General features: G+C 42.9%; 1 protein-coding gene and 1 long non-coding RNA gene across 3 annotated transcripts in view; one reads left to right on the forward strand and one right to left on the reverse strand.

Annotated features, from left to right (window-relative positions):
- The window catches only part of COPG2 (coat protein complex I subunit gamma 2), a 162,511-nt gene that overhangs the window by 75,709 nt on the left and 70,650 nt on the right, over window positions 1–16,152 (reverse strand). The window lies entirely within an intron of this gene.
- On the forward strand, window positions 10,512–15,030 carry LOC124901746 (uncharacterized). The gene is made up of 2 exons (XR_007060524.1): window positions 10,512–14,163; window positions 14,908–15,030. It is a non-coding gene; the product is annotated as an uncharacterized LOC124901746 (long non-coding RNA).

The following is a 16,152-nucleotide window of genomic DNA, read 5'->3' on the forward strand; positions in this document are numbered from 1 at the left end:
CATCCCCATAAAGCTACCAATGACTTTCTTCACAGAATTGGAAAAAACTACTTTAAAGTTCATATGGAACCAAAAAGGGCCCACATCACCAAGGCAATCCTAAGCCAAAAGAACAAAGCTGGAGGCATCACACTACCTGACTTCAAACTATACTACAAGGCTACAGTAACCAAAACAGCATGGTACTGGTACCAAAACAGAGATATAGATCAATGGAACAGAACAGAGCCCTCAGAAATAACGCCGCATATCTACAACTATCTGATCTTTGACAAACCTGAGAAAAACAAGAAATGGGGAAAGGATTCCCTATTTAATAAATGGTGCTGGGAAAACTGGCTAGCCATATGTAGAAAGCTGAAACTGGATCCCTTCCTTACACCTTATACAAAAATCAATTCAAGATGGATTAAAGACTTAAACGTTAGACCTAAAACCATAAAAACCCTAGAAGAAAACCTAGGCATTACCATTCAGGACATAGGCATGGGCAAGGATTTCATGTCCAAAACACCAAAAGCAATGGCAACAAAAGACAAAATTGACAAATGGGATCTAATTAAACTAAAGAGCTTCAGCACAGCAAAAGAAACTACCATCAGAGTGAACAGGCAACCTACAAAATGGGAGAAAATTTTTGCAACCTACTCATCTGACAAAGGGCTAATATCCAGAATCTACAATGAACTCAAACAAATTTACAAGAAAAAAACAAACAACCCCATCAAAAAGTGGGCGAAGGACATGAACAGACACTTCTCAAAAGAAGACATTTATGCAGCCAAAAAACACATGAAAAAATGCTCACCATCACTGGCCATCAGAGAAATGCAAATCAAAACCACAATGAGATACCATCTCACAACAGTTAGAATGGCAATCATTAAAAAGTCAGGAAACAACAGGTGCTGGAGAGGATGTGGAGAAATAGGAACACTTTTACACGTTGGTGGGACTGTAAACTAGTTCAACCATTGTGGAAGTCAGTGTGGCGATTCCTCAGGGATCTAGAATTAGAAATACCATTTGACCCAGCCATCCCATTACTGGGTATATATCCAAAGGACTACAAATCATGCTGCTATAAAGACACATGCACACGTATGTTTATTGCAGCATTATTCACAATAGCAAAGACTTGGAACCAACCCAAATGTCCAACAATGATAGACCGGATTAAGAAAATGTGGCCCATATACACCATGGAATACTATGCAGCCATAAAAAATGATGAGTTCATGTTCTTTGTAGGGACATGGATGAAATTGGAAATCATCATTCTCAGTAAACTATCGCAAGAACAAAAAACCAAACACCGCAGATTCTCACTCATAGGTGGGAATTGAACAATGAGATCACATGGACACAGGAAGGAGAATATCACACTCTGGGGACTGTGGGGGGTGGGGGGAGTGGGGAGGGATAGCATTGGGAGATATACCTAATGCTAGATGACGAGTTAGTGGGTGCAGTGCACCAGCATGGCACATGTATACATATGTAACTAACCTGCACAATGTGCACATGTACCCTAAAACATAAAGTATAAAAAAAAAAAAAAAAAAAAAAAAAAGCCCAGGCCTGGTGCAGTGGCTCACGCCTGTAATCCCAGCACTTTGGGAGGCTGAGGCGGGTGGATCATGAGTTCAGGAGATTGAGACCAACCTGGCCAACATGGTGAAGCCTTGTTTCTACTAAAATACAAAAAATTAGCCAGGCATGGTGGCGCATGCCTGTAGTCCCAGCTACTTGGGAGGCTGAGGCAGGGGAATCGCTTGAATCCCTGGGAGGCGGAGGTTGCAGTGAGCCAAGATCGCGCCACTGCACTCCAGACTGGCAACAGAGCGAGACTCCATCTCAAAAAAAAAAAAAAAAAAAAAAAAAAAAAAGTCCAGGACCAGACTTTTCACAGAATTCACAGAATTCTACCAGACATTCAAAGAAGAATTGGTACCAATCCTTTTGAAACTATTCCACAAGACAGAGAAAGAAGCAACCCTCCCGAACTCATTCTATGAAGCCAGTATTGCCCTAATACCAAAACCATGAAAGGACATAACAAAAAAAGAAAACTACAGACTGATATCCTTGATGAACACAGATGCTAAAATCCTTAACAAAATACTAGCTAACTGAATCCAACAATATATCAAGGATAATCCACCATGACCAAGTGGGTTTCATACCAGGGATGCAGGGATGGTTTAACATACACAAGTCAATAAATGTGATACATCACATAAACAAAATTAAAAACAAAAATCACATGATCATCGCAATAGATGCAGAAAAAGCATTTGACAAAATCCAGCATCCCTTTATGATTAAAACTCTCAGCAAAATTGGTATACAAGGGACATACCTCAATGTAACAAAAGCCATCTATGACAAACCCACAGCCAACATAATATTGAATGGGGAAAAGTTGAAAGCATTCCCTCTGAGAACTGAAACAAGATAACGATGCCCACTCTCACCACGCCTCTTCAACATAGAAGTTGTAGCCAGAGCAATCAGACAAGGATGCCCAAGAAATAAAGGGCATCCAAATCGATAAAGAGGAAGTCAAACTGTCACTGTTTGCTGACGATAGGATCATTTACCTTGAAAACCCTAAAGACTCCTCCAGAAATCTCTTAGAACTGATACAAGAATTCAGCAAAGTTTCTGAATACAAGATTAATGTTCACAAATCAGTAGCTCTTCTATACACCAATAGCAACTAAGCGGAGAATCAAATCAAGAACTCAACCCCTTTTACAATAGCTGCAAAAAAAATAAAATACTTAGGAATATATCTAACCAAGGAGGTGAAAGGCCTCTACAAGGAAAACTACAAAACACTGCTGAAAGAAATCATACATGACACAAACAAATGGAAACACATCCCATGCTCATGGATGGGTAGAATCAATACTGTGAAAATGACCATACTGCCAAAAGCAATCTACAAATTCAATGCAATCCCCATCAAAACCATCAAAATACCACCATCATTCTTCACAGAATTAGAAAAAAAAATTCTAAAATTCATATGGAACCAAAAAAGAGCCCATAGCCAAAACAAGACTAAGCTAAAAGAACAAATCTGGAGGCATCACATTACCTGATTTCAAATTATACTATAAGGCCAGAGTCACCAAAACAGCAAGGTACTGGTATAAAAACAGGCACATAGGCCAATGTAACAGAATAGAGAACCCAGAAATATACCCAAATACTTACAGCCAACTGATCTTTGACAAAGCAAGCAAAACTATAAAGTTGAGAAAGGACACCCTTTTCAACTAATGTTGCTGGGATAACTGGCTAGCCACATGTAGCAGAATGAAACTGGATCCTCATCGCTTACCTTATACAAAAATCAACTCAAGAAGGATTAAGGACTAAAATCTAAGACCTGAAACTATAAAAATCCTAGAAGATAACATTGGAAAAACCCTTCTACACATTGGCTTAGGCAAGCATTTAATGATCAAGAACCCAAAAGCAAATGCAATAAAAACAGAGATTAAATAGTTGGGACTTTATTAAACTAAAGAGCTTTTGCACGGCAAAAGGAACAGTCAGCAGAGTAAAGAGACAACCCCGCAGAGTGGGAGAAAATCTTCATAATCTATACATCTGACAAAGGACTAATATCCAGAATCTACAACAAACTCTAACAAATCAGTAAGAAAAAAACAATTCCATCAAAAAGTGGGCTAAGGAACTGAATAGACAATTCTCAAAAGAAGATATACAAATGAGCAACGAACATATAAAAAAATGCTCAACATCACTAATGATCAGGGAAATGCAAATCAAAACCACAATGTGATACCACCTTACTCCTGCAAGAATGGCCACAATCAAAAAAATCAAAAAACAGTACATGTTGGCATGGATGCGGTGAACAGGGAATACTTCTACACTGCTGGTGGGAATGTAAACTAGTACAACCACTATAGAAAAACAGTGTGGAGATTCCTTAAAGAACTAAAAGTAGAACTACCATTTGATCCAGCAATCCCACTACGCAGTATCTACTCGAGGAAAAGAAGTCATTATATAAAAAAGATACTTCACACACATGTTTATAGCAGTACAATTTGCAACTGCAAAATCATGGAACCAACCCAAATGCCCATCAATCAACAAGTGGATAAGGAAACTGTGGTATATTTATATGATGGAATACTACTCAGCCATAAAAAAGGAATGAATTAATGGCACTCACAACAACCTGGATGAGATTGGAGACTATTATTCTAAGTGAAGTAACTCAGGAATTGAAAACCAAACATTGTATGTTCTCACTTAAATTAGGAGCTAAGCTATGAGGACTCAAAGGCATACAAATCATACAATGGACTTTTGGGACTTGGGGGGAGAGTGGGAAGCAGGCAAGGGTTAAAGGCTTCAAATATGGTGGAGTGTATACTGCTCAGGTGATGGGTGCACCAACATCTCACAAATCACCACTAAAGAACTTACTTGTGTAACCAAATACCACCTGTACCCCAATAACTTATGGAAAAAAAAATTTTTTTTTGAGACAGAGTCTCGCTGTGTTGCCCAGGCAGGAATGCAGTGGCGCTATCTCGGCTCACTGCAAGCTCTGCCTTCCGGGTTCATGCCACTCTCCTGCCTCAGCCTCCCGAGTAGCTGGGACTACAGGCACCCGCCACCACGCCGGGCTAATTTTTTGGATTTTTAGTAGAGACAGCATTTTACCATGTTAGCCAGGATGGTCTTGATCTCCTGACGTCGTCATCTGCCCACCTCGGCCTCCCAAAGTGCTGGGATTACAGGCGTGAGCCACCGTGCCCAGCCAACTTATGGAAAAATTTTCTAAAAAATAAGTATTTACAGCATCCTAAATGTGAATCTTTTCCTTCCTATCTATAAGTGGCACCAAAAGTAACTTCTTTCAATTCCAATCAACAAACTATGATTGATTAGAACCATAGCTATTAGCCAACACTCAACAGTAATAAAAAACTCTTGCATTTTAAAAGCAGTTTATAAATTACATATAATTCCTATCCTTTAATATTAACCCATCATAAATTCTATTATATTAAAAAATACCATTCAGCTGGGCGTGGTGGCTCACGCTTGTAATCCTAGCACTTTAGGAGGCGGAGGCAGGCAGATCGCCTGAGGTCAGGAGTTTGAGAACAGCCTGGCCAGCATGATGAAACCCCGTCTCTACTGAAAATACAAAAATTAGCCAGGCATGGTGGCGCATGCCTGTAATCCCAGCTACCCGGGAGGCTAAGGAAGGAGAATCGCTGGAACACAGAAGGTGGACGCTACAGTGAGCCGAGATGGCACCACTGCACTCCAGCCTGGGCGATAGAGTGAGACTCCATCTCAAAAAAAAGAAAAGAAAAGAAAAGAAAAATACTATTCAAGAAACTAACAGAAGGCTCTATTCTCTATAGTCCTAAAATGCTTTCCAATATCCAGTTGGATATTGTTACTACAAAAATCATTCTGTTAATGTTAAATGCAAATGAAAATATAATACTTGCTTTTGAATAAAAATTTTAATTGTACAATATTCACCTTTAAATTTTTAAATTTAAATTCCTCTTTTAAAACTTAGAACATGGATTCCCTATTTAATAAACGGTGCTGGGAAAACTGGCTAGCCATATGTAGAAAGCTGAAACTGGATCCCTTCCTTGCACCTTATACAAAAATTAATTCAAGAGGGATTAAAGACTTACATGTTAGACCTAAAACCATAAAAACCCTAGAAGAAAACCTAGGCAATACCATTCAGGACATAGGCATGGGCAAGGACTTCATGTCTAAAACACCAAAAGCAATGGCAACAAAAGCCAAAATTGACAAATGGGATCTAATTAAACTAAAGAGCTTCAGCACAGCAAAAGAAACCACCATCAGAGTGAATAGGCAACCTACAGAATGGGAGAAAATTTTTGCAACCTACTCATCTGACAAAGGGCTAATATCCAGAATCTACAATGAACTCAAACAAATTTACAAGAAAAAAAAACAAACAACCCCATCAAAAAGTGGGCGAAGTATATGAACAGACACTTCTCAAAAGAAGACATTTATGCAACCAAAAAACACATGAAAAAATGCTCACCATCACTGGCCATCAGAGAAATGCAAATCAAAACCACAATGAGATACCATCTCACAACAGTTAGAATGGCAATCATTAAAAAGTCAGGAAACAACAGGTGCTGGAGAGGATGTGGAGAAATAGGAACACTTTTACACTGTTGGTGGGACTGTAAACTAGTTCAACCATTGTGGAAGTCAGTGTGGCGATTCCTCAGGGATCTAGAATTAGAAATACCATTTGACCCAGCCATCCCATTACTGGGTATATATCCAAAGGACTACAAATCATGCTGCTATAAAGACACATGCACACGTATGTTTATTGCAGCATTATTCACAATAGCAAAGACTTGGAACCAACCCAAATGTCCAACAATGATAGACCGGATTAAGAAAATGTGGCCCATATACACCATGGAATACTATGCAGCCATAAAAAATGATGAGTTCATGTTCTTTGTAGGGACATGGATGAAATTGGAAATCATCATTCTCAGCAAAATATCACAAGGACAAAAAACCAAACACCGCATGTTCTTGCTCATAGGTGGGAATTGAACAATGAGAACACATGGACACAGGAAGGGGATCATCACACACTGAGGACTGTTGTGGGGCAGGGGGAGGGGGAAGGGATAGCATTAGGAGATATATCTAATGCTAAATGACAAGTTAATGGGTGCAGCACACCAGCATGGCACATGTATACATATGTAACAAACCTGCACGTTGTGCACATGTACCCTAAAACTTAAAGTATAATAATAAAAAAAAAGCTTAGAACATGGAGACAGTCCTCTTTGACAATCTTCCCCAATGCAGTCCTCTTCTCCCAGCTCCCTAAAGATAATGACTATAATGATAATTTGTTATTTATCTTTCCCAATATAAAAAAATATTTACCCCCCGCCACACACATATACACACAAGGAGAAACTATATTCAGTGTGTAGTTTTTTCTTTTACAGAAATGGCATTGGCTGTATATTTACTTCACACAGTTTTTTTTTTCATGAAACAATAATTAATTCCTGATTAAACATTTTATAACATCCCATAATACAACTAAACATTTTGTCCAATCGTTAATTCAAAGGATGTTAAAGACATCTCTCAATATTTTGATATTACAAGTAATACTGGAATTGAAATATTTGTATATGTTTCCTTGTGAAAGTGTACAAGTGTTTCTCTGCAGCAGATATGCAAGGGAGAAACTGCTGGATTCCAAACACTGTACAGGTTTACTTTTTTTTTTTTTAAGAGTCGGGTCTCACTGTGTCACCTAGGCTACAGTGCAGTAGCAATTTACAGGTGTGATCACAGCTCAATGCAACCTTGAAGGCCTTCTGTGATCCTCCCACCTTAGCCTCCCAAGTAGCTGGTACTATAGGTGCTCACCACCACACCTGGCTAACTTAAAAAAAAAAATTTAGAGACAGGGTCTTGCTATGTTGGCGGGGCTAGTCTTGAACTCCTGGCCTCATGCAATCCTTCCACTTCAGCCTCCCCAGTAGCTGGAACTACAGGTGTGTGCCACCGCACCTGGCCATGTTTACTTTTTAATAGACACTACCAAATTACCTTACAAAGTATTTCTACCAATTTATATTCTCAGCAATGTGGTATGAGAATACCCATGTTCTAGCCAACACTAGATACTACAAAACACTTTAAATTTGTTCAACCTGATAGATGAAAAAATAATGTCACCTTGTTTTAGTCTGCATTTCTCTAATCAATAGTGAGGTGATGCTTATTTTTGTTTATTGGCAGGTGCATTTCCTCATCTGGAGCTGCGCGTTAATCCCAAATTTCTCCATCAGGATATCTTTTCTCCTGATTTGTAAGAGTTCTTTATATATTTGGATACTAGTCCTCCATGAGTAGCAAATGTATGTGTAGCAAATATTTTTCTCCCAGTCTATTTTTGTCTAACTTTATGTATTTTTTAATCGTAAAAGACGTTAAATTTTTGTTGTAAAAACTATCAATATTTTATTTTTCCTATCAAAAGATTGTATTTTTCTTATGTTTAGTTTTAACTAGATGAAAATTTGAGGTTCTGTTTATTTAAGCCTTTACCCCATCTATAACCTATTTTTATGAATGTAAGAGTCCAAATTTCTCTACTTCTTTAAATGTTCAGGAGAGCTCTCCCTCTCCCTCTCCCTCTCCCCACGGTCTCTCTCTCCCTCTCCCCACGGTCTCCCTCTCCCTCTCCCCACGGTCTCCCTCTCCCTCTCTTTCCACGGTCTCCCTCTCATGCCGAGCCGAAGCTGGACTGTGCTGCTGCCATCTCGGCTCACTGCAACCTCCCTGCCTGATTCTCCTGCCTCAGCCTGCCGAGTGCCTGCGACTGCAGGTGCGCGCCGCCACGCCTGACTGGTTTTCGTATTTTTTTGGTGGAGACGGGGTTTCGCTGTGTTGGCCGGGCTGGTCTCCAGCTCCTAACCGCGAGTGATCCGCCAGCCTCGGCCTCCCGAGGTGCCGGGATGGCAGACGGAGTTGCGTTCACTCAGTGCTCAATGGTGCCCAGGCTGGAGTGCAGTGGCATGATCTCGGCTCGCTACAACCTCCACCTCCCAGCTGCCTGCCTTGGCCCCCCAAAGTGCTGAGATTGCAGCCTCTGCCCGGCCACCACCCCGTCTGGGAAGTGAGGAGCGTCTCTGCCTGGCCGCCCATCGTCTGGGATGTGAGGAGCCTCTCTGCCTGGCTGCCCAGTCTGGAAAGTGAGGAGCGTCTCTGCCTGGCCGCCCATCATCTGAGATGTGGGGAGCACCTCTGCCCTGCCCCCCCGTCTGGGATGTGAGGAGCGTCTCTGCCCAGCCGCCCCGTCTGAGAAGTGAGGAGACCCTCTGCCTGGCAACCGCCCCGTCTGAGAAGTGAGAAGCCCCTCTGCCCGGCAGCCACACCATCTGAGAAGTGAGGAGCCCCTCCGCCCGGCAGCCACCCCGTCTGGGAAGTGAGGAGCGTCTCTGCCCGGCAGCCACCCCCTCCAGGAGGGAGGTGGGGGTCAGCCCCCCGCCCGGCCAGCCGCCCCGTCCAGAAGGGAGGTGGGGGGGTCAGCCCCCCGCCCGGCCAGCTGCCCCGTCCGGAAGGGAGGTGGGGGGGGTCAGCCCCCCGCCCGGCCAGCCGCCCCGTCCGGGAGGTGAGGGGCGCCTCTGCCCGGCCGCCCCTACTGGGAAGTGAGGACCCCTCTGCCTGGCCAGCCGCTCCGTCCGGGAGGGAGGTGGGGGCGTCAGCCCCCCGCCCGGCCAGCCGCCCCGTCCGGGAGGTGAGGGGCGCCTCTGCCCGGCCGCCCCTACTGCGAAGTGAGGAGCCCCTCTGCCCAGCCAGCCGCCCTGTCTGGGAGGAGGTGGGGGGGTCAGCCCCCCGCCCGGCCAGCCGCCCGTCCGGAGGGAGGTGGGGGGGTCAGCCGCCCGTCCGGGAGGGAGGTGGGGGGGTCAGCCCCCCCGCCCGGCCAGCCGCCCCATCCGGGAGGTGAGGGGTGCCTCTGCCCGGCCGCCCCTACTGGGAAGTGAGGAGCCCCTCTGCCCGGCCAGCCGCCCCGTCCGGGAAGGAGGTGGGGGGGTCAGCCCCGCACCCGGCCAGCCGCCCCGTCCGGTTGGTGAGGGGCGCCTCTGCCCGGCCGCCCCTACTGGGAAGTGAGGAGCCCCTCTGCCCAGCCAGCCGCCCAGTCCGGGAAGGAGGTGGGGGGGTCAGCCCCCCGCCCGGCCAGCCACCCCGTCCGGGAGGGAAGTGGAGGGGTCAGCCCCCCGCCCGGCCAGCCGCCCCATCCGGGAGGTGAGGGGCGCCTCTGTCCGGCCACCCCTACTGGGAAGTGAGGAGCCCCTCTGCCCGGCCACCACCCCGTCTGGGAGGTGTACTCAACAGCTCATTGAGAACAGGCCATGATGACAATGGCGGTTTTGTGGAATAGAAAGGGGGGAAAGGCGGGGAAAAGATTGAGAAATCGGATGGTTGCCGTGTCTGTGTAGAAAGAGGTAGACATGGGAGACTTTTCATTTTGTTCTGTACTAACAAAAAATTCTTCTGCCTTGGGATCCTGTTGATCTGTGACCTTACCCCCAACCCTGTGCTCTCTGAAACATGTGCTGTGTCCACTCAGGGTTGAATGGATTAAGGGTGGTGCAAGATGTGCTTTGTTAAACAGATGCTTGAAGGCAGCATGCTCGTTAAGAGTCATCGCCACTCCCTAATCTCAAGTACCCAGGGACACAAACACTGTGGAAGGCCACAGGGTCCTCTGCCTAGGAAAACCAGAGACCTTTGTTTACTTGTTTATCTGCTGACCTTCCCTCCACTATTGTCCTATGACCCTGCCAAATCCCCCTCTGCGAGAAACACCCAAGAATGATCAAAAAAAAAAAAAAAAGAGTCCAAATTTCTCAAGGTAGTACAAAACTAGAAAATAATATGAACAGATTAAAATTAAACAATATTATAATAATAACAAAGAAAAATCAAATGATTCTTTCCCTAATGGCAGGAAAAGCATGGTAAAATTAAAAACAAATCTATTCATCATAAAAAATCAATAAACTAGGAATAAAAAGAACTTTTATGATTTGATAAGGGGTATCTTTTTTAAAAAATATAGCAAACACGCCAGACTTTTCATCATGCCAAGGGAAGGCTGATATTAAATACTTCCCTAACCGTGAATGCTGACAAAGATTCCTGCTACTGGCATGCCATGTCATATACCTGTAAGATCTGGGTCACAGCCTCTGATTATACCAGGGAAGGGATACTTCCCCTCAAAATTTATGCTAGGTTGTCAAAATTGGGCTTACACCAAAACTATGCCACATTATGCTGCTCTTGTATCCCACCTGATCACAACAGTGAGTAGCTTCAGCTTCTGTACTTAATGCAGTTTAAAAACTATAAAGCCCAAGGTTGTAAGCCCTATCTCATAGTATGAAAATGTCATTAGACTTCTATACACTGACATAGAAAGAATGGGCAATGTGGGGACAAGTGCATCTGGTATTACTCCAGGCTTTATAAGTTTTCCTCCAATGAATATTACTCTAGTAGGCTTTGTATGAATTCTACTTGGCCATTTGCGCTTAATTACATAAAAACTGTCACAGAAAACTGGACATCAGGTCAGGTTTCTACTGCAGTTTTCTGGAAGTAAAGCAAAGGACCAGAGGTGAAAGACTCATTTTGGCATTTTGGCAGCATGCCCAGTCATCAGGATGGCTAATCACTAACTGCAACTGGGAAATAGCCCTAAAGTCCCAATGAATAAAATATCTGGAAAATAAGACTGGCCAGGTTGGAACTCCTTGGTTGTTATTAATGGCCTTGGTGAGAATCTCCTAGGAAGAGGCAAACTCCACTGAAGGGAAGGTTAAGTAATCCCTGATGAAATTATATAGACACACACAGAGAAGTAATGATGCAAAACAAGAGCTGGAAAATACTCTTACAGAAAAGTAAGGGAGGAAGATTTTCTCTAGCATACATCTACACTAACATAAAGAAAGCTATTATAATAAGGTGGAGTGTTGCTGGCACATAAACAGAAATAAAAAGCAGTGGTGAATATGAGTCCAGAAATAGACCAATCCACATAAAGACACCTGATTTATAACAAAGCTAATATTGCACAGTAGTGGGTATAGACACATATTTCAACTAATGGTGCTGAGATTATTGGGTTTTCATATGGAGAAGAAAGAAATTAAATTGCTACCTTATACTATATCCAAAAAAGAAAAAAAAAATGAAACAATTCCAGGTAGATTACAAACCTAAAATATGAAAGTTGAAGCTATAATGCTTATGGAAAATAGTACAGAGGATATATTTGTGAATTTGGGGTAAGAAAATGTTTCTTATGCAAGACACCAAACACATTATTTCTAAAGTAAAAGACTGATAAATGTGACTACCTTACACTTACGGAGCTCTGTTCATCAAAAGACACCAAGAAAGGGAAGAGACAAGCTAGAGTATGGGAAAAGCTACTTGCAACACATACAATCAACATCGGACTCACATTTAGAAGACATAAAGAACTCCTAGAAAATCAATGGGAACAAAGCAGAAAACCAAGTTAAAAACTGGGTAAAACTCAAACAAATATTTCAATAGAAAGGATATCCAAATGGATAGTAAACACAGAAAAAAGTTGTCAAACTCATTAGTAATTAGGAAATTAGAAATTAAAATCACAATTCTTTGACAAGCACACCAAGACAATTCAATGGAGAACAAATCGTTTTTCATGAAACGGTGCTGAGACAACTGGATAGCCACATGCAAAGAATTAAGTTGAATCTCTATCCCACAGCATACACAAAAATGATCTCAAAATGGATCAAAGACCCAAATGTAAAATGTAAAACTATAATAAACTCTTTGAAGAAAACAGGTGTAAATCTTTGTGACCTTGAATTAGGCAATGGTTTCTTAGGGGTAATACCAAAAGCACAAGCAAACAAAACACAGAAAAATTAGACTTTATCAAAATGTAAAACTTCTGTGTTTGAAAGAACACTATATCAAGAAAGTGAAGAGATGACCCAAAGAATTGGAGGAAACATTTATAAATTATGTATCTGATAAGGGTTTAGTATCCAACATATACAAAGAACTAATACAATTCAACAATAAAAGACAACCTAATTTTTTAAATGGGCAAAGATTTTAAATAGGCATCTCTCCAAAGAAGATATGGAGATTGGCAATAAACACATGAAAAGATGTTCAACATCACTGATCACTAGGGTAATGCAAATCAAAACCACAACTAGATTCACACAACCTCTTTACACCTACTGGGGTGGGTATAATAAAAAAGACAGACAATGACAAGTGTTGGTGAGGATGTGGAGAAATTGGGCTCTCAAACACTACTGATAAAATGGAAAATGGTGCAGCCCCCTTGGAAAACAGTTTGGCAGTTCCTCAAAAAGCTAGACACAGAGTTATATTATGACCTAGCAGTTCTGATCCTAGGTATGTACCCCAAAGAACTGAAATGTATTGTCACATAAAAAATTACACATGACCATTTATAGCAGCATTATTCATTAATAGCCAAAAAATGAATACGAGCCAAATGTCCATCAACAGATGAATGGATAAATAAAATACGGTATATTTATACAATGTAATATTATTCAGCCATAAAGAGAAGTACTGATAACTTCTACAATATAAACGAATCTTGAAAACATTATACTAAATGAAAGAAGCCAGAAACAAAAGGCCACATATTGTGTGATTCCATTTATATGAGATGTCCAGAACAGGCAAATCCAGAGACAAAAAAATGGATTTGTATTTTCCAGGGCGAGAGGGAAAAGGAGAATGCAGAGTGACTGTTAATGGGTTGGGTGCTTTCTTTGTGAGGTGATGCAAATGGTCTGGAATTAGTGGTGGTGGTTACATAGTTTTGTGAATATACTAAAAATTAACTATATACTTTTAAAAGGTGAGTTTTATGGTTTATGAGTTACATCTCAAAAGTTATAAGCTGGGAAATTATCAAGGAAATATAAAATAGAATTTAAGTGAACAAAAGCTATAAGCAAAAACAAGGGTGAAATCTTAGAAGAAAATACTAAATGAACAAAACAAGATGCAACTCTCTTGAGTACCCCCACACTCCCTTGAGTGTGCACTTTTTGCTTTGAAATAAAATCTCTGTACTTTCACTATTTTCTGACTCATCCTTGAATTCCTTCTCATGATGGTGTCAAGAGTCTGGACACCGGCTGGCGCTGAGGTCCCATCGGCATTTGGGGACCCCCCCCCTCCAGCCTACCAGTATCATCTTTATGGCCATCCAGCCCAGAGCATCATCAGCCACATCAGAACCACCAGCAGTTGGTAAGTCCCATTGGGGCCTTAATTGGAGTCTTCTCGTTCTCTGGAGTTACTGCTACTTTCTTCCTTGTTCCTACAGCCTGACTCCCCTCAGCCGTAGTGCCTCTGCTTCCTCCAGCTGGAAAACGCAGTTCGCCCTGACAGTGACAAATGGAGGTGGGAAGGCTTTGACCTACACCTGAGCTCTGAGGTGCCATGGGCCTCCTGGGCAAGAGGCTAATGAGGGTGAGTAGGGTAAAATCCCATGTCCCAGTGGCTGGACAGCTGCCAAGGAGCATTATGACTTATTCCTGGGAAGTCTTCTGTTCTCCCAAGGGACCAGCTGCGCTAAGACACTGACCTTGGTTGGGAACTGTTTTCCCTTTCCCATCTCTCTTTAAACCCTGCTTTTGTGGTTTTCTCTTCTCATGCTTCTTCCTCATACTTCACACAAAAGTTTAGTGAACTCTGGACACAGCAAAATAGGTCCGCTGGAATGCCAAATCTAGGCCTATTGTTTTAAGGGGGCCCTTCAAGGTGGCTATTATTTGGCCATGCTGAATTATCTCTACTACGAAGTTTTACTTGGTAATAAATATTCAGATGGATTTTGGCAGGCTTGCTGCTTTCAAACTAGGTCCACACTCATCCTACTCAACCTTGAAAGCAAAGCCCCAGGGGCCATGGACGCCTGGGCAACACTAGGGCTCCAGGGACACCTGGACACCAAGGCAGCCAGCCAAGGGAACATGGACAACTGTCTCCCCGGCCTGACCATGGAGCTGGTGTCAAGAGCCTGGACACTGGCTGGGGCTGAGGTCCCATTGGCATCTGGGGACTCCACTGCAGTCCACCAGTATCATCTTTATGGCCACCTAGCCCAGAGCATCCACAGCCACATTAGAACCACCAGCTCATTCACCTGGCATTTTGTAAATGCTGGAACTAGTCCCTCCGAAGAGGAAACTATACTGTTCTTTTCTCTTTCAGGTCGTGCCGAGGACAAGTCAAGGCTATGGGTAACTCTCTTTTAGAAAATGGGGTGCAATGGCCAGAGTCTAGGACCGTAAAATGCAATACCATCTTGGAATTAAATCTTTTTTGTAAACATCAGAAGAAGTGGACTGAAGTAGCATATGTATTAATACAAGCCTTCACGGCTCTTTATCAGAACCTTGACCCTCGCGGGAACTGCTGCCTTTGTTAGGCTCACAGCCCTTTAGGGGAACCAAATGGGACACCAGATACCCTGCACGATCCCCCTTTTGGGAAATGTACCCCCAGACTCCTGCTAGTCCATCTCCTTACCAACCTTCACACCCTTCTCTACAGAAGGAGCAGAGCCCTGCTAGGGTTGCCCACAGTGCATTTCCTACATTCTTGACCATTCTAAGTTATGCCCACTTAGGGAGGTGGCCAGTGGGGGTGCTGGGACTATCTGGGTGTATCTTTTTCGATGTCTGATCTAGCCTACTGCAGACAGAGGTTGGGCCAATTTTCAGAGGACCTAACTAAAGTTATGGAGGGGTTCTGGGCTCTCTCACTCTCATCTGAGTTAACCTGGGGACATATTCATATTATCTTGTCCATGTGTTGTACCCCTGAGGAAAAGCAGTGTATTTGGGCACAGGCCCAGGCTTATGCTGACACCTTGTTGGCTTGGGACCCCGAACAATATACTGTAAAGGCCATGTCTGTGCCTAACAGTGGCCCTAATTGGAATTATCAACAGGGCCAGGCTTATCTAAGAAAAAAAAAAATCACATGATGACTTGTTTAGTGAAAGGAATGAAAAAAAGGTACCACTAAGCCTGTGAGCTATAATAAAATAAGGGAAATAACTCAAAGAAAAGATGAAAACCCTGCTGTGTTCCAGGGGAGCCTTGTGAAGGCCCTAAAAAATATATGCTAACATTGAACCCAATATTGATGCTGGCCAAATTTTTCTAAGGACATACTTTATTAGTCTATCAGCATCTGACATCAGGAGGAACATGAGGAGGAAAGTGCAGAAATTGGCTTTGGGATCCCAAATGCCTATTACTCACATGTTTCATGTAGCTTTTAGGTTATTCAATAATAGGGATAGGGCTGAAGAGGCTGAAAGGACTCAGCATGGCAAACAATGGGACAGACAGCAGGCCCAAATGACACCCAGGGGGATTCTTCGCCCAAGGACCAAACAGCCCTAACAGCAAACCTGTAGGAAATGGTTGCCGCTTCTAGTGTAGGAAG

This window comes from Homo sapiens, chromosome 7 (assembly GCF_000001405.40).
Source record: "Homo sapiens chromosome 7, GRCh38.p14 Primary Assembly".
NCBI classification, from domain to species: Eukaryota; Metazoa; Chordata; class Mammalia; order Primates; family Hominidae; genus Homo; species Homo sapiens.